The sequence below is a fragment of the Homo sapiens genome (genome assembly GCF_000001405.40).
Source record: "Homo sapiens chromosome 16 unlocalized genomic scaffold, GRCh38.p14 Primary Assembly HSCHR16_RANDOM_CTG1".
In the NCBI taxonomy this organism is placed as follows: Eukaryota; Metazoa; Chordata; class Mammalia; order Primates; family Hominidae; genus Homo; species Homo sapiens.
The window spans coordinates 1,457,025-1,481,369 of NT_187383.1; the positions used below are offsets into that span (position 1 = coordinate 1,457,025).

The 24,345-nt window shown below is 44.1% G+C and overlaps 1 pseudogene; it reads left to right on the forward strand.

Annotated features, from left to right (window-relative positions):
• LOC647211 (rhophilin-2-like) overlaps positions 1-14,590 on the forward strand; it is a 51,164-nt pseudogene extending 36,574 nt beyond the window's left edge.
• The last annotated feature ends 9,755 nt before the right edge of the window (positions 14,591-24,345 follow it).

Below are 24,345 nucleotides of genomic sequence, written 5' to 3' on the forward strand. Positions count from 1 at the left end.
CCCATTCTTGAGGGCTCAACCCCAAGACTGAATCACCTCTCAAGGGGCCCCACTTCCTAATAATTACATTGATGATTTTAATATACATTTTAAATTTTAATAAATATTAATAAAATTTTAATATTTTAATATACAAACTTTGGGAGGGTACAAACATTCAGACCATAGCATATTTTATTTTATGCACTTATTTTTATTTGTTTTTTGAGACAGAGTCTCACTCTGTTGCCCAGGCTGGAGTGCAGTGGTGCGATCTCAGCTCAGTGCAGCCTCCACCTCCCAGGTTCAAGTGATTCTCCAGCTTCAGCCTCCCGAGTAGTCGAGATTACAGGCCTTTGCCACTACGCTCAGCTAATTTTGTATTTTTAGTAGAGACAGGGTTTCACCATGTTGGCCAGGCTGATCTTGAACTCCTGGGCTCCAGTGATCCCCTCACCTCGGCCTCCCAAAGTGCTGGGATTATAGGCCTGAGCCACTGTGCCCGGCCCCACAGCATATTTTAAAAGTAGTTTTTAGGTATTGTCTATTTAAAATTTTTTAAAATATTTTTTAACTTTTTTTAGAGATGTGGTCTCACTGTGTCACCTAGGCTGGATTACAGTGGCATGATCATAGCTCACTGCAGCCTGAACCTTCTGGGCTCAAGTGATCCTCCTGCGTTAGCTACCCTAGTAGATGGGACTACAGGCACACACCACCACGTCCAACTAATTTTTATTTCTTGTAGAGATGGGGTCTTGCTATGTTGCCTAGGCTGGTCTCAAACCCTGGGTTCCAACCATCCTCCTGCCTAGGCATCCCAGAGTGCTGGGATTACAGGTATGAGCCACTATGCCTGACCTGAGATTTTTTTTCCTTTTTTTTTTTTTTTTTTAAGACAGGGTCTAACTCTGTTTTCACCCAGGCTGGAGTGCAGTGGCACAATCAGTTCACTGCAGCCTCGAACTGCTGGGCTCAAGAAGTCCTCCTGCCTCAGCAGCCTGAGTAGATGGAACCATAGGCGTGCACCACCATGCCTGGCTAATTCTTTTATGTTTTTAGTAGAGAATGGTTCCCACTATGTTGCCCAGGCTGGTCTCAAACCCCTGGCCTCAAGCAATCCTTCTGCCTTGGTCACACAAAGTGCTTAGGATTACAGGCAAGACATGTCTGGTCTTAAATTGTTTATATTAGAGATTTTATTTAAGATAATTTTGGCTGGGTGTGGTGGCTCACGCCTTTAATCCCAGCACTTTGGGAGGCTGAGGCAGGCTGATCAACTGAGGTCAGGAGTTTGAGACCAGCCTGGCCAACATGGTGAAACCCCATCTCTGCTAAAAATACAAAAATTAGCCAGGCGTGGTGGTTCGCACCTGTAATTCCAGCTACTCAGGAGAATTGCTTGAACCCAGGAGGCAGAGGCTGCAGTGAGCTGAGATTACACCACCACACTCTAGCCTGGGCGATAGAGCGAGACAATGTCTCAAAAAAAAAAAAAAAGAAAAAGATAATTAATACAATGTCTAAAAGATAATTTTATTGTAAATATATTGGGTATGTTTGAGAAGATGGCTTTCCAGGTTCTCGCATGACTGCTGTAGCATGTATGCCCCCAGATGTGTCATTTGTCCCTGAACAAGGCCAAGTGAGATCTTCAAGGACAGCAGGCAAAATTCCCTTTAGCTTTCAAGTGTCTGATCCAGCCTTCAAATCCTACACCTAATGATGCTCTCTTCCAAAGGGCCCCTTATCTGTGTTTTTGGCTAACAAGCAGTAGACGCCTCCTCGAAGCATCCGCTTCACTGCAGAAGAAGGGGACTTGGGGTTCTCCTTAAGAGGGAATGCCCCCATTGAGGTTCACTTCCTGGATCCTTACTGCTCTTCCTCGGTAAGCACATGCTTTTCTTGGTTGGCAGCAAACACAGATATCTGGGTGATTGAATTTAGGGCGGGTTCACCCATGTCAAAGGCCTGACTTGATGTGAAAGGCCTCATGGGTGCTACAGTCCCTAAAAGAAAAGGATTAATTTTTACTGTCTTTTTTTTGTTTTTAGTTTTTTTTAGACGTTGGGAGGTGGAGGCTGCAGTGAGTCGTGATTGTGCAGTGGCACGATCTCAGGGCTCAGTGCAGCTTCTGCTTCCTGGGTTCTAGTGATTCTCCTGTCTCAGCTTCCTGAGTAGCTGGGATTACAGGCACGTGCCACCACACTCAGCTAATTTTAGTTTTTGTTTTTGTTTTTTGAGACACATTTTTGCTCTGTCGCCCAGGCTGGAGTGCAGTGGCGCGATCTTGGTTCACTGCAACCTCCAACTCCTGGGTTCAAGTAATTCTTCTGCCTCCGCCTGCTGAGTAGCTGGGATTACAGGTGTGTGCCACCATGCCCAGCTAATTTTTTGTGTGTTTTTAGTAGAGACGGGGTTTCACCGTGTTAGCCAGGATGGTCTTGATCTCCTGATCTTGTGATCTGCCCACCTCGGCCTCCCAAAGTGCTGGGATTACAAGTGTGAGCTACCTGGCCTGGCCTAATTTTTGTATTTTTAGTAGAAACGGGGTTTTGCCATGTTGGCCAGGCTGGTCTCGAACTCCTGGCCTCAAATATTCTGTCTGCCTTGGCCTCCCAGAGTGCTAGGATTATAGGCGTGAGCCACTGTGCCTGGCCAATTTTGACTTTTTTTTTTTTTTTAATTGCACCCAGGCTGGAGGGCAGTGGCACGATCTCGGCTTACTGCAATGTCTGCCTCCCGGGTTCAAGCAATTCTCCTGCCTCAGCCTCTCAGGTAGCTAGGACTACAGGTGCCCACGACCACACCTGGCTGATTATTGTATTTTTAGTAGAGATGGGTTTCACCGTGTTGTTCAGGCTAGTCTTGAACTACTGACCTCAAGTGATCTACCCGTCTCAGCCACCCAACATGAATTTTTGCGTTCTTGATGTGAACTTATGCAAATACCTATTTTGTTAATGGGGACTGATTCAAGGATTTGAGTGAACAAAACGTTGACTTATTTTCAACAATACTTTTTCAGGTGGCAGGAGCCCGGGAAGGAGATTATATTGTCTCCATTCAGCTTGTGGATTGTAAGTGGCTGACGGTGAGTGAGGTTATGAAGCTGCTGAAGAGCTTTGGTGAGGACAAGATCGAGATGAAAGCCGTGAGCCTCCTGGACTCCACGTCATCCGTGGTGAGCACTGACACCTGCCTGGGCAGTCAGTAGTGGTGTGGAGTGAAATCTACATGAGTTCAGCCCCAGGGGTGTTTACTAGACCCTCTGTCTCCTGCCTGTGTAACATGGTACAAATGACTGGACTCCCAGGCTTGTAATCACTGTAATGTGCTCACCTTGGGTCAAAGAGAAAATTGGCAAACTTTTTCTTTTTAAAGACAGGGTCTTGCCCTATTGCCCAGGCTGGTTTGCAGTGGTATGATCATGGCTTACTGCAGCCTCTATCTCCTCGGTTTAAGTGATCCTCCCACTTCAGCCACACAAGCAGCTGGAATTATAGGCACCCACTACCACCCCTGGCTCATTCTTTATTTATTTATTTATTCATTTTTTATTTTATTTTTTTTTTGAGACGGAGTCTCGCACTGTCGCCCAGGCTGGAGTGCAGTTGTGCAATCTTGGCTCACTGCAAGCTCTGCCTCCCAGGTTCACGCCATTCTTCTGCCTCAGCCTCCCAAGTAGCTGGGACTACAGGTGCCTGCCAACGCGCCTGGCTAATTTTTTGTATTTTTAGTAGTGATGGGGTCTCACTGTGTTAGCCAGGATGGTCTCGATCTCCTGACCTCGTGATCCACCCACCTCGGCCTCCCAGAGTGCCGGGATTACAGGTGTGAGCCACCATGCCCAGCCCATTCTTTATTTTTTGTAGAGACAGGTTCTCGCTGTGTTGCCAAGACTGGTCTTGAACTCCTGGGCTCAAGCCATCCTCTGACCTTGGCCTCCCAAAGTGCTGGGATTACAGGTGTGAGCCACTGCACCCTGCTAGCAAACTTTTAAAAATATCCTGTGGATAAAATAATCAACTGATCTATTTTTCTGATCAAATTGTTTAATTACAAAAGTAATACATACTCATAGTGAAAAAAACAAAAAACAAAAAAAAATTCTAATGGTACAGAAGAGCTTAAGACGACCTGTGAAAGTTAAGACAATCCCTCTGTATGCCCTAGAGGCAGTGTCAGCCATGTTCTGGGAGATTTGGGAAGCATTTGAGTCTCTCAAGTTCACCTGCACAGTTACCACCTTTAATTTTCCCCACGTGAGGCCGGGCACGGTGCTCATGTTTGTAATCTGAGTACTTTTGGAGGCTGAGGTGTGTGGATTGCTTGAAGTCAGGAGTTCAAGACCAGCCTGACCAACAAGGCAAACGCTGTCTCTACTGAAAATATAAAAATTAGCTGGGCATGGTGGTGCACGCCTGTAACCCCAGCTACTCAGGAGGCTGAGGCAGGAGAATAGTTTGGGAGGTGGAGGTTGCAGTGAGTGGAGATTGCACCATTGCACTCCAGCCTGGGCAACAGAGTGAGACTCTGTCTGCAAAAAAACCCTAAAATTTTCCCCAAGTGCTAGGGTTCATGCCACACTTAATGACGTTCTCCTCTGCACTTTGCCACACTTAATGCCGTACCCTCGACCTTCCCTCTGTAACAACACTCATTTATTCATTCAACAAATATTGATTGAGGATCAATTGGGTGCCAGACACTCTCTTAGGTGTCAGAGCTCCAGTTTACATTACACAGGTAAGGTCCCTGCCCCTCCCCACGAAGCTGGCACTAAGTCAGTAAATAAATGGTCAGGATTTTGATAAGTGTTGTAAAGGAAAAAAGACCTGTAATGGGGTGGAATGACTGGAGAGGAGGCGAGGCTCTATCTAGGCAGGGCTGGAACAGACATGAGAGTGACCAGGAGGTTCGAGCCAGTTGCAGAGAGACAAGAAAGGCCTTCTGGGCAGGGGCACCTACAGGTACAGGGCCCCTGCAGCAGAATAACCTTCTCCTACCAGAGAGGCAAAAGGAAGGCCTTTTGGCAAGAGCACCAGGACAAGGAAGGGAGCCATGGGAAGTGAGGTAGGAAGGAGGCCTTGGCGGCAGTGGTGGGAGCTTGGAAGCCACTGGGCATTTTCAGAAGGGGAATGGCATGGCGTGATGTTTGTTTTAGAAGGGCGTCTGCTGCCGGAGACTGGCCATGGCAGTTGTCCAGGCTGGTGAAGTTAGTGGCTGAGGTGATGGGGTTGGCTGTAGAGTTGGAGAGACATGAGTGTCCCTGGGACATAGTTTGGAGGTAGAGCTGATGGGGGATTTGTGGATGATTTGTGTAAAGGAGACAGTGAACAGGGAGGTGAGGCCTCAGTTTTTGGCTTGATCAATCTCATGGGTAGTGGTTATTTTTCTACCTTTAATTTCATTTTTCTCTTGTTGTTTTTTTGTTTGTTTTTTGTTTTGTTTTGTTTTGTTTTTGAGACAGGGTCTCACTCTGTTGCTTGGCTGGAATGCAGTGGTGCAATCATAGCTCACTATAGCCTTGACTTCCTGGGCTGAGGCAATCCTTTTGCCTCAGCCTCCTGAGTAGCTGGAACTACAGGTGTGTACCACTATGCCTGGCTAATTTGTTTATTTACCTATTGTAATTTTTTTTTGGTAGAGATGGGGCCTTGATATATTGCCAAGGTTGGCCTCAAACTCCTGTCCTTAAGCGATCCTTCCACCTCCGCCTCCCAAAGTGTTGGGATTACAAGCATTAGCCACCATGCCCGGCCTGGTTATTTTTCATAATGATGGGTAATGGGTGTGAGGGAGGTGAAGGAGAGAGAAATCAAGAGTCGTGTTTTGAATGTTTCAGATGCTATTAGCAGTCAGACATAAGCATAAAGGAGGAGACTGGATGTGAAGTCTTCAGTTCGAGGAAGAAATCAGAGCTAGAAATAAATACTTGAGAATCATTGCACACGGATGATATTTGAGGCTGTGAGACAAAATGCAGCTCCCTGCAAGGGGGCTAGGGCTGAGGGCTAAACATTTAGAGGTCAGTTGGAAGAGAAGCAAGTGCAAAGAAAATGCAGGAGAGTTCAGAGATGTCGGAGGAAAGGAGCTTCTCAAATTAAGAGGAGAAAGCTCTGCAGGAGAGAGTGATGGGTTGCATTGAATGCAGTTGAGAGGTGGAGAATGAGGTTGGCTTAGCTGTGCCTATTGTATTTGGCAGCAGGATGAAAAGACACTTTGGTGGAGAGGTGGCAACAGAAGTCAGTTGAGAGAGGGCCAGAGAGCCAATGGATTTTGAGTCCGTGGATATGAAATGCTCAGCATAGGCAAATCCAGAGACAGAAAGTAGATGGTGCTGGGGCTGGGCAATGGGAGTAGGGAGGGACTGCTGAAGGGTCATAAGGTAGAAGGTTTCTTTTTGGGGGGATGGAAATATTCTGAAATTAGGTAGTAGTGATGGTCACCTAACTTTGTGAATATCCTAAAAAATCACTGATGTTTTGGCATACTGGCTCACACCTGTAATTCCAGCACTTTGAGAGGCTGAGGCTGTATGTTCGCTTGAGCCCAGGAGTTCGAGACCAGCCTGGGCAACATGGCGAGACCGTGTCTCTACAAAAAATAAAAAAAAATTAGCGTGGCATGGTGGCACACACCTGTAGTCCCAGCTGCTTGGGGGGCTGAGGCCGGAGGATCACTTGAGCCCAGGGAGGTTGGGGCTGCAGGGAGCTATGATTGTACCACTGCACTCCAGCCTGGGTGTCAGAGCAAGACCCTGTCTCAAAAATAATAAATAAAAGCCACAGAAGGGTATTAAAATGGTGAATTTTATGCATGTATGTGAATTATATCTCAAAAAAATTTTTTTTTTTTGAGACGGAGTCTCGCACTATCGCCCAGGCTGGAGTGCAGTGGCGTGATCTTGGCTCACTGCAACCTCTGCCTCCAGGATTCAAGTGAATCTCCTGCCTCAGCTTCCCGAGTGGCTGGGATCATAGGCGGGCACTGCTATGCCTGGCTAATTTTTGTATTTTTAGTGGAGACAGGGTTTCGCCATATTGGTCAGGCTGGTCTCAAACTCCTGACCTCGTGATCCATCCACCTCGGCCTCCCGAAGTACTGGGATTATAGGCGTGAGCCACCGCACCTGATATAGTTCAAATTTTAAAAGAAGATAAAGTCAAGGGACGCAGAGCATCTTGGGAGAAGGGATCATAAGAAATTATATTTTTAGGGACAAAATGCATGGAGTTTATGGACAAGTGATTAAGGTCCACAGCAGAAACAGAAAAGAAGTTTGTCCAAAAGGAGGTTAGAGAAAAGAGCCGAGCCACATACTGAAGGTTGGAGTAGGGACCCCGTCAGCAGAGGCCTGAGTTTATGGGGCATGCCCTGCCCCCTGTGAGAGGTGCAAAGGCTTGACTTTCAAGCCTGTGACATCTTTACACCAGGCCAAGGAAGGGGCTGCTGTAGTAGCTAAAAGCAAGGGTTCTGCACTGAGACAGTCTAGATGTGTATCCTGGCTTTCCACCACTGTTGTGTGGCCTTCAGCAAGTCAGTGAATAGCTGTGAGCCTCAGGATAAACTGAGTTTACATAAAGCCCTTCCAAGAGGGCCAAACATGAGCTGCATTTCAATTCACAATAGGCATTATAATGATGATAACCATGATCATGATGTTTATTCTTTTCACCCAGCAGGATGTCTTTAATTTTTTTAAAAATAATGTTTTTAGGCCGGGCGCAGTGGCTCACGCCTGTAATCCCAGCACTTTGGGAGGCTGAGACGGGTGGATCACGAGGTCAGGAGATCGAAACCATCCTGGCTAACACGGTGAAACCCCATCTCTACTAAAAATACAAAAAATTAGCTGGGCGTGGTGGCAAGTGCCTGTAGTCCCAGCTCCTTGGGAGGCTGAGGCAGGAGAATGGTGTGAAACCAGGAGGCGGAGCTTGCAGTGAGCTGAGATTGCGCCACTGCACTCCAGCCTGAGCGACAGAGCGAGACTCCGTCTCAAAAAAAAAATGTTTTTAGGCTGGGCACAGTGGTTCACTCCTATAATCCTAGCACTTTGGGAGGCCGAGGCAGGCGGATCACTTGAAGCCAGGAGTTCGAGACCATCCTGGCCAACATGGCAAAACCCTGTCTCTACTAAAAATACAATAATTAGCGGGATGTGGTGGTGCATACCTGCAGTCCCAGCTACGTGGGAGGCTGAGGCATAAGAATCACTTGAGCCTGGGAGGCAGAGGTTGCAGTGAGCCGAGATCGTGCCACTGTACTCCAGCTGGGGCGACAGAGTAAGACCCTGTCTAGAAAAAAAAAAGTTTGTTTTTTGTTTTGAGACAGGGTCTCGCTCTCATTGCCCTGGCACGATCTTGGCTCACTGTGGCCTTTACTCTTGGGCTTAAGTGATCCCCCCACCTCCGCTTCCTGAGTAGCTAGGACTACAGGCATGCAACACCATACTCAGCTAATTTTTCATATTTTTTTGTAGAGATGGGGCTTCACCGTGTTGCCCTAGCTGTTCTCTAACTTCTAAGCTCAAGCAATCCGCCTACCTTGCCTCCCAAAGTGCTGGGATTACAGGCAGGAGCCAGCATGCCCGGCCAAATAATTTCTTTTGTTGTTGTTTTTTGTTTTGTTTTGTTTGTTTTGAGACAGGGTCTCACTCAGTTGCCCAGGCTGGAGGGCAATAGTGCAATCATAGTTCACTACAGCCTCGAGTTCTAGGGCTCAAAAGGTCCTCCCTTCTCATCATCTAAGGTCAGGAATTCTAGACCAGCCTGGTCAACATGGTGAAACCCTGGGTGTGGAGGTGGTGGGTGCCTGTAATCCCAGCTACTTGGGCAGCCAAGGCAGGAGAATTGCTTGAACCCAGGAGGCAGAGGTTGCAGTGAGCCGAGATCATGCCACTGCACTCCAGCCTGGGCAAGAGAGGGAGACTCCATCTCAAAAAAAAAAAAAAAAAAAAAAAAAAAAAAGATCCTCCCAAGTAGCTGCGACTACAGGTGTGCACCACTATACCCAGCTAATTTTTAATTTTTTTTGTAGTGACACTCTCATTTTGTTGCCCAGCCTGGTCCCAGACTCCTGGGCTTAAGCAATCTTCCTGCCTCCGCCTCCCAAAGTGTTAGGATTACAGGAATGAGCCAGTGCACCAGGCCAAAAGTAATTTCCTTTTGTCTTTTATTTAACTAATTTTGTAGTGATGGGGTCTAACTGAGTTACTCCAGCTGATCTTGAATTCCTAGCCTCAAGAGACCCTCTTGAATCAGCCTCCCGAATAGTTGGGATTACAGGTGTGAGACACTGTACCTGGCTCTTTTTTTTTTTTTTTGGAGATAGAGTCTTGCTCTTGTTATCCAGGCTGGAGTGCAGTGGTACAATCTTGGCTCACTGCAACCTCCGCTTCCCGGGTTCAAGCAATTCTCCTGCCTCAGCCTCCTGAGTAGCTGGGATTACAGGCACCCACCATGATGCCTGGCTAATTTTTGTATTTTTAGTAGAGATGGAGTTTCACCACATTGGCCAGGCTGATCTTGAATTCCTGGCTTCCGGTGATCAGCCTGCCTTGGCCTCCCTAAAGTGCTGGGATTACAGGAGTGAGCCACCATGCCCAGCCCCTGGCTTTTTAAAAATAATTTTTAAAAAATAATTTATTTTTGTCTATTAATTTTTATGATAAGGATTTTAGATAATGACAGCCAAGCACTGTTTTTAGTGACTGAACCTTTCAAACAAAATCAAATAAAGAGAGCATTTATCCTAGCACTCTGGCTGAACCGATGACCTGCTGCCCTTGGCTACCCTCTTGACTACAGTGGGGATCCCTAGCTGAACAAATCTAAGCTTGGAATCAAGCTCTGGAATTAGGCCCTGACTGCCGTTCACAAGCTGTGTTACCTTCAGCACGTTCATACCTTCCCTGGGCCTTGGTTTTCTCATCCAGGGGATGGAAGGGTTAGGCCTACACAGTGGTTTTAAACTGTGCTCTATAAAGTCCTAAGAGTTCTAGAGGGATACCCCAGTGGATTTGAGTGAGGAGTGGGTGGCGTGGAAAGAAATAGTAAATGGAGCTGGGCACAGTGGCTCAAGCCTGTAATCCCAGCACTTTGGGAGGCTGAGGCAGGTGGATCACTTGAGGCCAGAAGTTGAAGACCAACCTGGCCAACATGGTGAAACCCTGACTCTACTAAAAATACAAAAATTATCTGGGCATGGTGGCATGTGCCTGTAATCCCAGCTACTTGGGAGGCTGAGGCAGGAAAATCACTTGAACCTGGAGGTGGAGGTTGCAGTGAGCCAAGATTGGGCCACTGCACTCCAGCCTGGTGACAGCAAGACTCTGTCTCAAAAAAAAAAAAAGGCTTTTCAAAGAAAGTAGTGGTACTCATTGCCGGAGTGAGAGAGAGTGTATGTGGGTATGATACTGGGGTGGACCTGGAGGGGAATAAGGTCAAGAAAGGCTTTACTTTTTTTTTTTTTGAGACAGAGTCTCACTTTCACCCAGGCTGGAATGCAGTGAGTGGCGCTATCTCAGCTCACTGCAAGCCTCACCTCCTGGTTCACACCATTCTCCTGCCTCAGCCTCCCGAGTAGCTGGGACTACAGGTGCCCGCCACCACGCCCGGCTATTTTTTTGTATTTTTAGTAGAGGCAGGTTTCACTGTGTTAGCCAGGATGGTCTCAATCTCGTGACCTTATGATCCGCCCGCCTTGGCTTCCCAAAGTGCTGGGATTACAGGCGTGAGCCACTGCGCCCAGCCAAGAAAGGCTTTTCAAAGAATGTGATGGTACGCATTGCAGGAGTGTGTGTGTGTGTTTGTGTGTAGAGAGAGGGGTGTGTGTGTGTGTGTAGAGAGGGGTGCGTGTAGAGAGAGGGGTGTGTGTGTGTGTAGAGAGAGGGGTGTGTGTGTGTAGAGAGAGGAGTGTGTGTGTGTGTAGAGAGAGGGGTGTGTGTGTATGTGTGTGTGTGTGTGTGTGTGTAGAGATCTGGGAGGCAAGGGTGCCTGGAGGAGAGAGGGAATGGGATCCAGGCACACAGAAGGGCTTGGTCTTGGGGGATGGATGCCATGAAGTATACGGCAGGGATTTCAGGAGGGTGCGTGAGTGGCTTCAGGAGGAGAGTGAAGATAAGAAACAAGAATACAGGAGAAAAGGAAATGAAATTACTAGGGACACACAAGAGTGCCAGGAAATGGGTGCCTATTAGAGGTTTGGGGTCAGGTTAGAATTCCAAGGGAAGCCTTGGTGAGTGTCCTCCAGCAATGAACAACCTTTCAGATACAGGCCCTAGGGGAGGCAGAGGGTGGAGATGAGCGAGTTAGCATTGCTGGGGGCAGATGGAAGAGAACTGAGGGTATTTATAAGGCAGTGGTTTTGATACACAATGGACTTTGAGCAGCTGAGGGTTGGGAAATTCTTTCAGGCCTCACATCTGTCTCCAGGATTATTCGTTTTATTATTGTTTTAAATGACATTGTGTAAAACATGGTGGAGTTAGTGGTCAGTTTTCCAGAAAAGGAAGAGGCATCTCCATCCTTAGGGGCTCAAAGTACCCCCTACTTTATTGCTGCATAACTCAGATTCCTGAGGGTTTATTTTATTTATTTATTCATTATTTATTTATTTTTGGCGATAGAGTCTCACTCCATCGCCCAGGCTGGAGTGCAGTGATGTGATCTTGGCTCACTGCAACCTCTGCCTCCTGGGTTCAAGTGATTCTTCTGCCTCAGCTCCTGAGTAGCTGGGATTGCAGGTGTGCACCACCACACCCAGCTAATTTTTGTATTTTTAGTAGAGATGGAGTTTCACCATGTTGGCCACCATGGTCTGGAACCCCTGGCCTCAAGTGATCCACCCACCTCAGCCTTCCAAAGTATTGGGATTACAGGTGTAAGACAGTGTGCCCGGCCCCTCTTAGGGTTTATATTAGGAACAATGTCCTCAACTATTGCAGCGATATATTGTATGCCTAATTTTAGTGCCAGAACATAGTAGACCATCAATAAACATGTGGCGAACTAAACAATCTCAATGTTAGGCAAACCTTAGAAGCTGGCGATAGCCCATGTGGAAGTCTTCAGAAAGCAAGCTTCCTTAGATTTCCAGTTTGAATCCTACATGATTCTTGGAAAGTTAATAGTAGAGAGTGTTTAATTGTACAAAGTTTCAGCTGAGGAAGATGAAAAAGTTTTAGAGATGGATGGTGGCAGTGGAGCATAATGATGTGAATGTAGTTAATGCCACTGAACTCTACACTTGAAAATGATGAAAATGGCACTCCAGCCTGGGCGACAGAGCGAGACTCCGTCTTAAAAAAAAAAAAAAGAAGAAGAAAAAAAAGAAAAAAGAAAATCAGGTGTAGAATAGTGTAGTTTATTCCTTTTAAGAAAATGAATGGTAATATACTTATGTACATACAAAAATACCTGTACATGCACATCATCTCTAGAAGTATAACATGGAGGGCCTAGAACCCCAGGTGACAGACCTATTGCTCACTGCATATTCTTTTTTTTTTCCTTCCCTTCCCCTCTTCCCTTCCCTTCTCCTTTTCCCTTTCCTTTCCCCTCTTCCCGTCCCCCCTACCCTTTTTTTTTTTTGAGACAGAGGTCTCACTCTGTTGCCCAGGCTGGAGTGCAGTGGCACAGTCACAGCTCACTATACTCTCAACCTCCTGGGCTCAAGCAATCCTCCCCTCTAAGCCTCCCAGGTAGCTGGGACTGTAGTCGTGAGCCACCGCACCCCACCCTGTACTTTCATATTCGTGACCATTAGTAATTATTACTTTCTCAAATAGAAGAAGAACCTTAAAATGTGAGTTGTGGCTCCTAAGCTTAAATTGTTACTATTGAGTACATTCCTTAAAAATTATCCTTGTTGGGCCGGGCGCAGTGGCTCATGCTTGTAATTCTAGCACTTTGGGAGGCCGAGGCAGGTGGATCACGAGGTCAGGAGATCAAGACCATGGTGAAACCCCTCTCTACTAAAAATACAAAAAATTAGCCAGGTGTGGTGGCGGGCGTCTGTAGTCCCAGCTACTCAGAGAGGCTGAGGCAGGAGAATGGCATTAACCCGGGAGGTGGAGCTTGCAGTGAGCTGAGATCGTGCCACTGCACTCCAGCCTGGGTGACAGAGTGAGACTCCGTCTTAAAAAACAAAAACAAAAACAAAAAACAAACAAAAAATTATCCTTGTTGCACCTGGTGGCACACACCTAGAGCCCCAGCTACTCAGGAGGCCAAGGCAGGAAGATCACTTGATCCCAGGAGTTCAAGACCAGTCTGGGCAACATAGCAAGACCCTGTCTCAAAAAAGAAAAACAGTTTGTCCTTGTTTTAAGAACCTAATTCTATATAAGCATTGGTCACCTGAGTTTCCTAATTATGTCTGTTTAATTTATTTTTTGGAGACAGAGTCCTGCTCTGTCGCCCAGGTTGGAGTGCAGTGGTGCGATCTCAGCTCACTGCAACCTCCACCTCCTGGGTTCAAGTGATTCTCGTGCCCAGCCTCGCAAGCAGCTGGGACTACAGACATCTACCACCACACCTGGTTAATTTTTGTATTTTAGTAGAGATGGGGTTTCACCATGTTGGCCAGGCTGGTCTTGGACTCCTGACCTCAAGTGATCCACCTTCCTCGGCCTCCCAAAGTGTTGGGATTACATGTGTGAGCCACTGCGCCTGGCCAGACTTCGTAGTTTGTATCATCTATCTTGATGATGCCTGACGCCCTTTTTCTTTCTTTTCTATGTGCAGCATAATAAGAGTGCCACATACTCCGTGGGAATGTAGAAAACGTACTCCATGATCTGCTTAGCCATTGATGATGATGACAAAACTGATAAAACCCAGAAAATCTCCAAGAAGCTTTCCTTCCTGAGTTGGGGCACCAGAAAGAACAGACAGAAGTCAGCCAGCACCTTGTGCCTCCCATCGGTCGGGGCTGCACGGCTTCAGGTCAAGAAGAAGCTGCCCTCCCCTTTCAGCCTTCTCAACTCAGACAGTTCTTCATACTAATGTGAGGAAACAAACACGTTCAGGCCCCGAACATTTCCGGTGCTGACTCAGCCTTAAACATTTGTGCCATAATGGAAAATATCTATCTATTCTCAAATCCTGTTTTTCTCATAGTGTAAACTCACATTTGATGTGTTTTTATGAAGGAAAGTAACCAAGAAACCTCTAGGAATTAGTGAAAAAAGAATGTTTTTGAGGCCTGTTACTATATTGCTATAAGTTATTTATTATATAAAGTATTGTAAATAGAATAGTGTTGAAGATATGAAATACGGCTATTTTTAATGGTGACAATTATGACTCTTAGTCACTATTAAATTGGGGTTACCTATAATAGTACAATTTGTAGTTGTTTCCAGGTTTGGCTAATAATCATTCCTTAACCTAGAATTCAGATGATCCTGGAATTAAGGCAGGTCAGAGGACTATAATGATAGAATTAAATTGGTGTCACTAAAAACTGTCCCAAAGTGCTGCTTCCTAATAGGAATTCATTAACCTAAAACAAGATGTTACTATTATATCGATATACTATGAATGCTATTTCTAGAAAAAGTCTAGTGCCAAATTTGTCTTATTAAATAAAAAAAATGTAGGAGCAGCTTTTCTTCTAGTTTGATATCATTTAAGAATTGCTAACACAGTGGCAGTGTTAGATGAAGATGCTGTCTACAAGGTAGATAATATACCGTTTGATACTCAAAACATTTTTCATTTTGTTTAAAGTAGAAGTTACATAATTCTATATTTTAAGTCTTGGGTAAAAAAGTAGTTTTACATTTTATAAAGTAAAGATGTAAATGATTCAGGTTTAAAGCTCTATTTGACTTTTTTGTTGTTGTTTGAGATAGAGTCTTGCTAGTGTCAATAGCAAAAGCCTTCTAGCTATCTGCCTTTCAGGTACATGGTGGGGCATACTTAACTGTTTTCTCTGATGTTGGGCATAGCATGGACCTACTTGGTTCAATATCTGACACTATTTGCATTTATTGACACTATCTGTGTTGATTTGTGCTATTTCCTGTGTGTGATTTGCACATCTGCCATTGCTTTTTGTCTCTAGTTACTGCTTTCTTTTCCTGTTTGTCTTGTTCTTGTAGGACCCTTTCTGACTCTCTCAAGAGGGATCTTTTCAACCCCAACTCCCACTGGTCTAATCCTAACCAGCACCAGCTGGTTGGGAAGTAGAGCAGGAACTCTGGCTGCCCTAATCTACATGGTGCTCTCTGCTCCTGGGCAGGGGTGTGGGTGTTTTTATATAGTATTCTCTTGAGTATGAAATGCCTGAACAAAGCAGTGATTTGGCAAGCCTGAAGTCACACACTGGGGCTCATAGTAACTTGCTTCTGCTAGCAACGTGAGCATTAGAAACATTTCCTGGCCAAGTAGCCTTGAATCAGCTAGGAGTAGGGGTGCAATGAGTCTGAGTTCACTTTGCTCAGGGTGACAAGGCTTTAGAGTATTGGTTAATTGTCAAACTCTTTTGTTTAAGAGACAAGGTAAACATTCATACATATATACATAGAGAAGCTTTCTAGGGTTACTTAGGCTTTATGTGATTACTAGCAGAAATGTTTGTATTTGCAAGCAAAGCTTATAAATCACCTCTTAGATATCTTTGCAAAATGAAGCTAAAACATGGTTTAAAGAATCAAAAATATAAGATATTTACAATGATTTATAATTGAATCAGGAATGCATTTGGTATTTTTTAAAAGGAATAATTGGCTAAGATTTAAATTAATTTGCTTTCCTTAAAAACCCAGCGCCTAAACAATAGAAAGAAATAGGAACAGTTACACTGGGTGTGTGAGGGGTGGAGGGGGGGACCCAACTGGGACTGAAATTTCTTGGAGAAAATCTACAAAATCGGCCAAGCACACATGGATTGTGTGACTTCATTTAGTTGGAGGAGAACTGAGCAACCCGCTGATCTCAAATGTCTTTCCCCAGGAGAAATAATCTCTCTCGTCTTGGAATGGCTGTAGCACTGAAAGTCTATTCCACCCTTGGCACTTACCTTAATCTATGTGGTAATATTATCTCTTTTAGAAATGTTTTTATCTCTTCATTATAACAATTATCTTTTTATGTGCCTGACTTACCTAGGATGCTCATTCATTCCAGGTGGCCTGGAACAGTTCTGATTTGCACCCATTGCCATGGTTTAATTAATAGTGCCCCCTTTCACTCTCAGAAGTGTCCTGGCTTGGATGATAAATTATAAGGTACCCATAGTCTTATCCCAACTAAACGGAAAGTTCCTGTGTTAGTCAAGATCCCAGCAAGAAACAGAATATTATGTGGGGATTTTTGAAGAGATAAAAGTCCCTTTAATAAAGGGACTATTTACAGATGTGTGGGCAGAGTTAAAAGCATCAAAAAAGGATGTTGAGGCACCAGGCCTGAAAAGGTAAAGGGAAGAAATGATGCCATTGGAGCTTACCTGGGGGGCACAGCTTTTGAAGAGGGGCTGCCCTAGAGAAGCCATAGTCCTGGAAGGGCTCAAACACTACAGAATGGGCCAAGCAAGGGAAGATATTCCCTACCACTGTCCTCCCACCCATCTATTACCTATCTGTGCCTTCTATTGGTTGAACCCAAATGCAAGCCAGAAGGCAAAGGAGCCCTGGTGATAAAGTTGGAAGGTGTTCGTTTCCTTGGGAAGAAGAGCAGGGAAAGGCAGAGAATGAATTGAGGGGGATCAGGGTATCTTGGGTCCTAGGGAAGTGGCAAACAGAAAATAAAGCTTCCTAAGGGGAGTCTCTTTGTCTTCAAGTCAATTAAAAACACATGTGTGCACACACGTGCAAAACACTACAGGAAAGGCCATGATTGGCAAGACTTGGCAGCTATTTAAGGGAGATATTCTCTACAATGGGGAACAAGAAATAAACTTAAGGAAGTTAAATTGCAGACTGAAGGTAAATAGCAGACTACAACAATATTAAGCAGTATATGGTGATTGTCAGATTAATGGTGTAGGCCCTAGATGTTAAAGGAGTTTGAAGGATGAAAGATCACAATGGGCTGGAGCAATCTGAAAAAATAATTTATGGAAGAGGAGAGGTTTTCAGCAGCATTGAAATTAGAGCCAACTTATATGGGCAAGAAGGAGAGGTTGGTCTTCTTTGGGGCAATGGCATCAACAAGAGCACAGGTGTTAGCCTGAGACACATCTTCCCATGGGTGGAGGGCTGGTGTTGTTTCTGAGATTTTCAAAAATCTTACAAACATTCCAGGCAAATACCTATGGAAGGGGCTAAAGGACATTAAATGGGCTGTAAGAGGTATAGGTTGTGGGTGGCCATTGATTCATTCCTTCAATAAACATTTATTGAATGCTTGGTATTGGTCAAGCCACTGTTCTGAGAGCTGCTGATGCCAAGTAAAATAAGACATGGTTCTTTCCCTTGAAGAAAGGGAATGGAAAAGGTAACCAAGGGAGAAAATAATTATTTTGCCTTGTGTCCAGATGAGGTTTTTCACATTCTTGGCTGGTCTTTTCACTCACTGCTTAAACTCTTTGGAGAGCCTTTACTCCCTTCAGGGGAAAGGATCGAGGCCCTTCCGATGTGGCCTTTTCTTGAGTCTCCAGCCCCATCTCTTACCACTCCTCCCAACACAGAGGTATGCACAGACGATATGCAAGCACACAGGAGATCATCTAAATGAGACTCGAGCAGAGAGTGATTAAGGAAGACTTCCTGGAGGAGGTAATGCAATCTGAATTCTGAAGTGTGAGCAGGGGCTTTGTAACAGTGTTTCCATTTATTTGTGTCTATCCTGATGCATTCTAAAAAGGAAGTAAGATGGTTGGCTTAAGAAATACACAGAGCAGGATAAAAAGAAAATTAGGTAAAACATAGGGTGAGCTTATTTGCCTTTTATGTACATTGCTGCATTTGATTTCAGAAAAGCTTTTTAAAGTTGCAGTTTTATTTTCATTTTCCAGATGAGGAAGCCAAGACCCAGTGGTTGAAGTACCTTGCCCAGAGCACACAGTCTTGACAGGCAGTGGAAGCAGAACAGAACCAAGCTGGTTTGGTACCAGTCTGTGAGTTTTCAGCCGTGTGCACTAGTATAAAAGATGTGCTTTTACCAGTCTGTGAGTTTTCAGTTGTGTGCACTAGTATAAAAGATGTGCTTGTGACTTCCGTGGCTTACCTCCCTGCATAGAGCTCAAGACCTGAAGGTGCTGCATGGGGCAGTAAAGGATGGCTGTGTACTTTGAAGACTGAAAAGTGAGTGAAGGGGGTGTATTAGTCCATTCTCACACTGCTAATAAAGACATACCCGAGACTGGGTAATTTATAAAGGAAAGAAGTTAATTGACTCACAGTTCAGCATGGCTGAGGAGGCCTCAGGAAACTTACAATCATGGTGGAAGGGGAAGAAAACGTGTCCTTCACATGGTGGCAGCAAGGTGAAGTGCTGAGCAAAAGGGAGAGAAGCCCCTTATAAAACCATAAGATCTTGTGAGAACTCACATTCACTACCATGAGAATGGCAGCATGAGGGTAATCACCCCCATGACTCAATTAGCTCCTACCAGGTCCCTCCCACAACATGTGGGGATTATGGGAACTACAATTCAAGATGAGATTTGGGTGGGGACACAGCCAAACCATATCAGAAGGGAACTGGGAAAGACATTTCAGGCAGAAGAGTCAGCGTGTTCAAAGCAAGAGGGGTGTGAAGGAGCATGGCATGTTGGAAGGATAGTAATTAGCTCATGATGGTTGGGAGTGTTAAGAGCACTGCTGAGAGATGGGGCTGGAGACACAAGCAAGGGCCACATCTGAAGGGCTTCATATGGCCCTTGGCCTGAAGGGAGTGAAAATTCTTGAAGGAGTTTAAGCAGTGAGTGACAAGACTGAGAATGTTAAAAACCTCACTTGTACAGCAATGTAAGCAAGTCTAGGTCGGGAGAAGCCTGGAGACCGAGAGGCCAGTTACAGGGCTTGCTGCAGTCATAGAACAACAAGATGGTAGAAATGATAAGGAGGGTGTTAGAGTTTGGGAGCTATTATGGAGAAACATTAGACAGAGGTGGGCCCCTGGATTGGGGATGGGTAAAGGTAACGAATTCTCACTTGGGCAGCCAGCGAGGTGATGCCATTCATGAGGCAGGGATGGTGGGGAAGAACCAGCTTAGTGCTTGAAGGTGATGAGTAGAGATGATGATGGTCATAAACAACTAATAAAGAAAATGAGCTTCACTTTTTTACCTTCTGTTCTGTCTAGTTGTTTAGTTTATTGAGGCCTTAGAAAAAAATATGACAGCCCCAGAGAAAATACTGTCAATAAAAGTTAAATGTATTTATTTTGATAAGACATTGTTTTTATTGCAAAAGTAATATATACACAGACAATTTAGAAATTACAGACAAGCCAAAGAAAATGTTGTTACACAAATGCAATGTTACAATGACTTGTAACACTTTGGTGTGTTTCCTTTTTTTTCTAAGCACATATGTGTAAATATATGCATTTTTAGAGGATTTCAGTAATGTTCTCATGATTAAATATATCATGCACATCCTTCTTTCTTTTCTTTCTTGCTTTTTTTTTTTTTTTTGAGACATGGTCTAGCTCTGTCACCTGGGCTTGAATGTAGTGCAATTCTGGCTCACTTCAACCCCCATCTCTTGAGTTCAAGTGATCCTTCTGCCTCAGCCTCCCAAGTAGCTGGCACTACAGGTGTGTGCCACCATGCCCAGCTAATTTTTGTATTTTTTGTTGGGACAGGGTTTTGCCATGTTGCCTAGGCTTGTCTCAAACTCCTAGGCTCAAGTGATCCACCCACCTTGGCTTCCCAAAGTGTTGGGATTACAGGCATGAGCCACCATGCCTGGCACATGCACATCTTTCAATAACATTGGTAATTCTATAAGATCATTTTGGAGATTGCATGGTATTCCATTTATGAATGCACTGTCTCCTGTTCAACTATGTTTCTGCTGAGACATTTAGGTTGTTTCCATTTTTGTTTTTACTATTACAAACAAGTCTGCAGTAAAGTAATGAAAATTTAAATTTTCCAATTAACCTTTGGTTTTTAGTAGTGCAATTTAGTTTATGAAATTAAGTTTGGGCATGGTTTGTTTTTTTAAGTGGTTGTAGAAAGAAACAGATTTTTTTTTTTTTTTTGAGACGGAGTCTCACTCTGTCACCCAGGCTGGAGGGCAGTGGTGTAATCTCGGCTCACTGCAACCTCTGCTTCCCGGGTTCAAGCAATTCTCTGCCTCAGTCTCCCGAGTAGCTGAGATTACAGGCACCTGCCACCACACCCGGTTAATTTTTGTATTTTTAGTAGAGACGGGGTTTCACCATCTTGGCCACGCTGGTCTTGAACTCCTGACCTCATTATCCACCTGCCTCAGCCTCCAAAAGTGCTGGGATTACAGGCTTGAGCCACCGCGCTTGGCGAAACAGTTGTTTTTAAATTGCTCTGAAAAAATATGTGGTCTCTCATTCTCATGTATGAGAGCAAACTGATATAAGGTATGACTATTAAAAAGGAAGTATGGAAACTATCTGTCAGTTGAGTCATTCTTTAACTTTCAGTGAGGACAGAGACCACATTTTCTAATGAGATTCCTTTGCTTTAATGACTTTTTCAGTGTCTCCCCAAGGAGCATACAAAATTTTGTCAATTCTTCAAAATGATGTACAAATTGATAAACCTCATGAATAATTGCAATTGTAGTTAAATTAAACTTCCTTTTGATTGCGTACAATAAATTTTTTGCATACATCTTTAAAATTTTTTCCCTTAATTTAGCAGCAGACTTTGAGGATAGGAAACATATTATAGCTGACCTTTTTTAACTGATCATTGCCCTTTTCCTTAGAGTTTCTACTGACTAAACTCTGCTAGGTGTCTGCTCTCTCTGCCCTTGTCAAGCCTCTAATAGTCAAACATCTGAAATTCCTCTTTTCCAGTGAAGATGCTGCAGAGTACTTGGAAGAGAAAAGGAGATATTTCTGGCTTGTCTGGACAAGGTTAGACCCCCGATAGCAGCAGAAAAGGGATACGGGATGTCAGTGATAAATGGGTGGTCTCTGTTCAAACAATACAATGCATGCATTCTCCCATAGTGCTTGGAAAATCCCCAGTAGCTGTGTACTCCAAGCCATCCTGGTTGGATGTAGATACATTTCACCAGTCTCAGTACCCTTTTTCTTTCATAAATATCTTCTATTCTAAAAGAAAGTGAATAGAAAATACAAGCTAATCTCACACATAACCTAAGCGTAACATAAAGGAGAAATTTTAAAAATTTAATTTACAGTAAACATACATTTTAGCCAGATGCTTGTACTTATACCTAGAATCGTTGTGAATGTGACACCTACAAATGCAGACTGATACTGGAGTGATACATTGATGACTCAAATACCACAGGGGGCATCACCATTGGTATTGTAATTTTCCAGAATGATGAACTACAATGGGTTAAGTTATGCGTGAAGCAACATCCAGTTTTCCTCGCCTTTATAAAGTGCATTCCTAAAAATTCAGTGAAGCAACATCCAATTTTCTTTGCATTTATAAATTGTATTCCTAGAAAATTCAGTGCATTTAAAACTACTCAAAAGTATTTTGTGTTTTATGTGTAAATTAAAGTTAGATTTTAGGCTCACATCATTGTAAATAGGTTTTTCATCTACTTGAAAGACATTCAAAGCTCATGTCTGACATGAGACAGCTTTTTTTTTGCATGACTGACCCACATATTATTGGGCATCTCTAATCCCAGGACCCCAGCAAGTTGTACCCCATTCATTGTTAGAGCCAAAATACAAACAAACTAGGCCGGGCGTGGTGACTTAATGCCTGTAATCCCAGCACTTTGGGAAGCTGAGGCGGGCAGACCTGAGGTTGGGAATTTGAGACCAGCCTGGCCAACATAGTGAAACCCTGTCTCTACTAAAAATACAAAAATCAGCTGGGCGTGGTGGCATGTGCCTGTAATCCTAGCTACTTGGGAGGCTGAGGCACGAGCACTGCTTGAACTTGGGAGGCAGAGGTTGCAGTGAGCTGAGATAACTCCTGCACTCAAGCCTGGGTGACAGAGTGAGACTCTGTCTCAAAAAAGAAAAATAAAGCAAAACCCCCAAATACTGACAAACTTACAAATTGTCCCTTTAGGTGGGTATAATTCCCCTGCCTTCACCTCAATCACTGGTTAAGCAGCTCCTGACTGTTTTTCTTTTTTGGACCTGGGAGGATTTTCCTCTGAGGTACAGAGAATTAGGTCAACTTGAGTCTGATTTAAAAAAAGTATTTATGTTAAAAATTGTGCACATATACACAATTATATATAACACAATATATAATGTTAAAAATATACGTATAATAAAAGTTACCATTTAAACCATTTTAAATGTATAGTTCAGTGACATTAAACATTTACATTATTGTACAACCAATACCACTATCCATCTCCAGAACAGTTTTATCTTCTCCTCCTGGTTTTTTAAAGAAATCACAGACAGTAGTCTGTTTTGTCTCTCGTTTTCTTTTTTCTTTTTTCTTTTTTTTTTTTTTGAGACAGAGTCTCACTCTGTCTCCAGGCTAGAGTGCAGTGGTGTGATCTCAGCTCACTGCAACCTCCACCTCCTGGGTTCAAGCAATTCTTATTCCTCAGCCTCCCGAGTAGCTGAGATTAGAGGCACCTGCCACCACACCCAGCTAATTTTTGTATTTTTAGTAGAGAGGGGGTTTCACCATGTTGGCCAGGATGGCCTCAGTCTCCTGACCTCATGATCCAACTGCCTCGGCCTCCCAAAGTGTTGGGTTTATAGGCGTGAGCCACCGCACCTGGCCTGTCTCTTGTTTTCTTAGGTCTTCTCATTGGCACTCATTCTGAGAATTGGTCTATTTCTTTTTTCTTTTTTTTTTTTTTTTTTTTTTTTTTTTTTGAGATGGAGTCTAGCTCTCTCACCCAGGCTGGAGTTCAGTGGCACAATCTTGGCTCACAGCAACCTCTGTCTCCCTAGTTTAAGTGATTCTTCTGCCTCAGCCTCCCAAGTAGCTGGGATTACAGGCAGCTGCCACCATGCCCAGCTAATTTTTGTATTTTTAGTAGAGACAGGGTTTCATTGTGTTGCCAGGCTGGTCTCGAGCTCCTGACCTTGTGATTCACCCACCTCACCCTCCCAAAGTGCTGGGATTACAAGCATGAGCTACTGCTCCCGGCCTGGTCTGTTTCTTGATTCTGATTAGGCCAGGTTTGTGACTCAACTTTTTGTCTCTGGTGAGGCTGTCATGCTCTGAGCTCTGCTTGTGCTGCTGACCACGCCTCTGCCCCCAGCCATATGGTAACCACACATGGCACCACCTCTCCGGCAGGCCTGGGCCTCCCCAGCTCTGTGGCTGTGTCCGGGACTGAGTCTCCCTATGACTCCTCTTCACTCTCCCTTCTGGAAAATTCATCTTTTCCTTGGCAGGTTATATCATAATTTCATATTCATTTGATCACTTCAGACATCCTATATTCAACTGTACAGTCCTGTTTTGTCTACACTTATCTATCTGAAATCCTATGTTATTAGGCTGTGTGTCTGTTAGAAGAGGCAACTTGGCAGTGTGGAAAGAGCATTAGAACTGGAATCAGAGGACAGTGAGTAAAAAGTGAGAGGGCTGATCACTAGATAATCTGCAGCTTCAAAGAAAAAGTTAATATGTTAATTTGTATAAAATATCATATCTGCCTACCTCATAGAACCTTCATAAGCATTGAATGCAAGTGAAAAATCGTAAAAGCATAAGGCATTATTATATAGCCCTTACTGTAATAAAAGATGCATAATACATGCTTTTTAAATGACAAAAGATATAATGGCATACACTACTAATTGGTAAAGAACATAAGGCTGGATAATAGAATCTGCAAACCCAGATATAGGCTGTTTTATTTAGTAGGGATGTAGTCTTCAATAAATGTTAAATGAACATATGTGCTCCAGAAAAGTTATTCAAAACCTTCATTTGGGGGTATTTAAAAGACAGTAACTCTCAGATATTTAGTGCTTGGAAGTCCACATAGATGTTCTGGAGTGTCAGCAGATGTGTGAGGTTGATTTCTGCCTGTTGTCATGAGAACACAGCTTGTCTTTATTGGCCTTTAGGAACATGACCCTAAAAGTCAGCCTGACAGTGATATTCTTCTATGAAAAGAGAGACTACTACCCAAAGGAGCTGTAACAGGAGACCTGAGGAGTCAGATATGATCAGATGATCTGTTTCCATTTACAGAGTCCTGAAAATCTTTGAGGCTGGTAGCCGCAAGTCATAGTTCCAGCCAGTGCTGTGCTGAACCATGTTGCAAAAGGAAGGATGTGT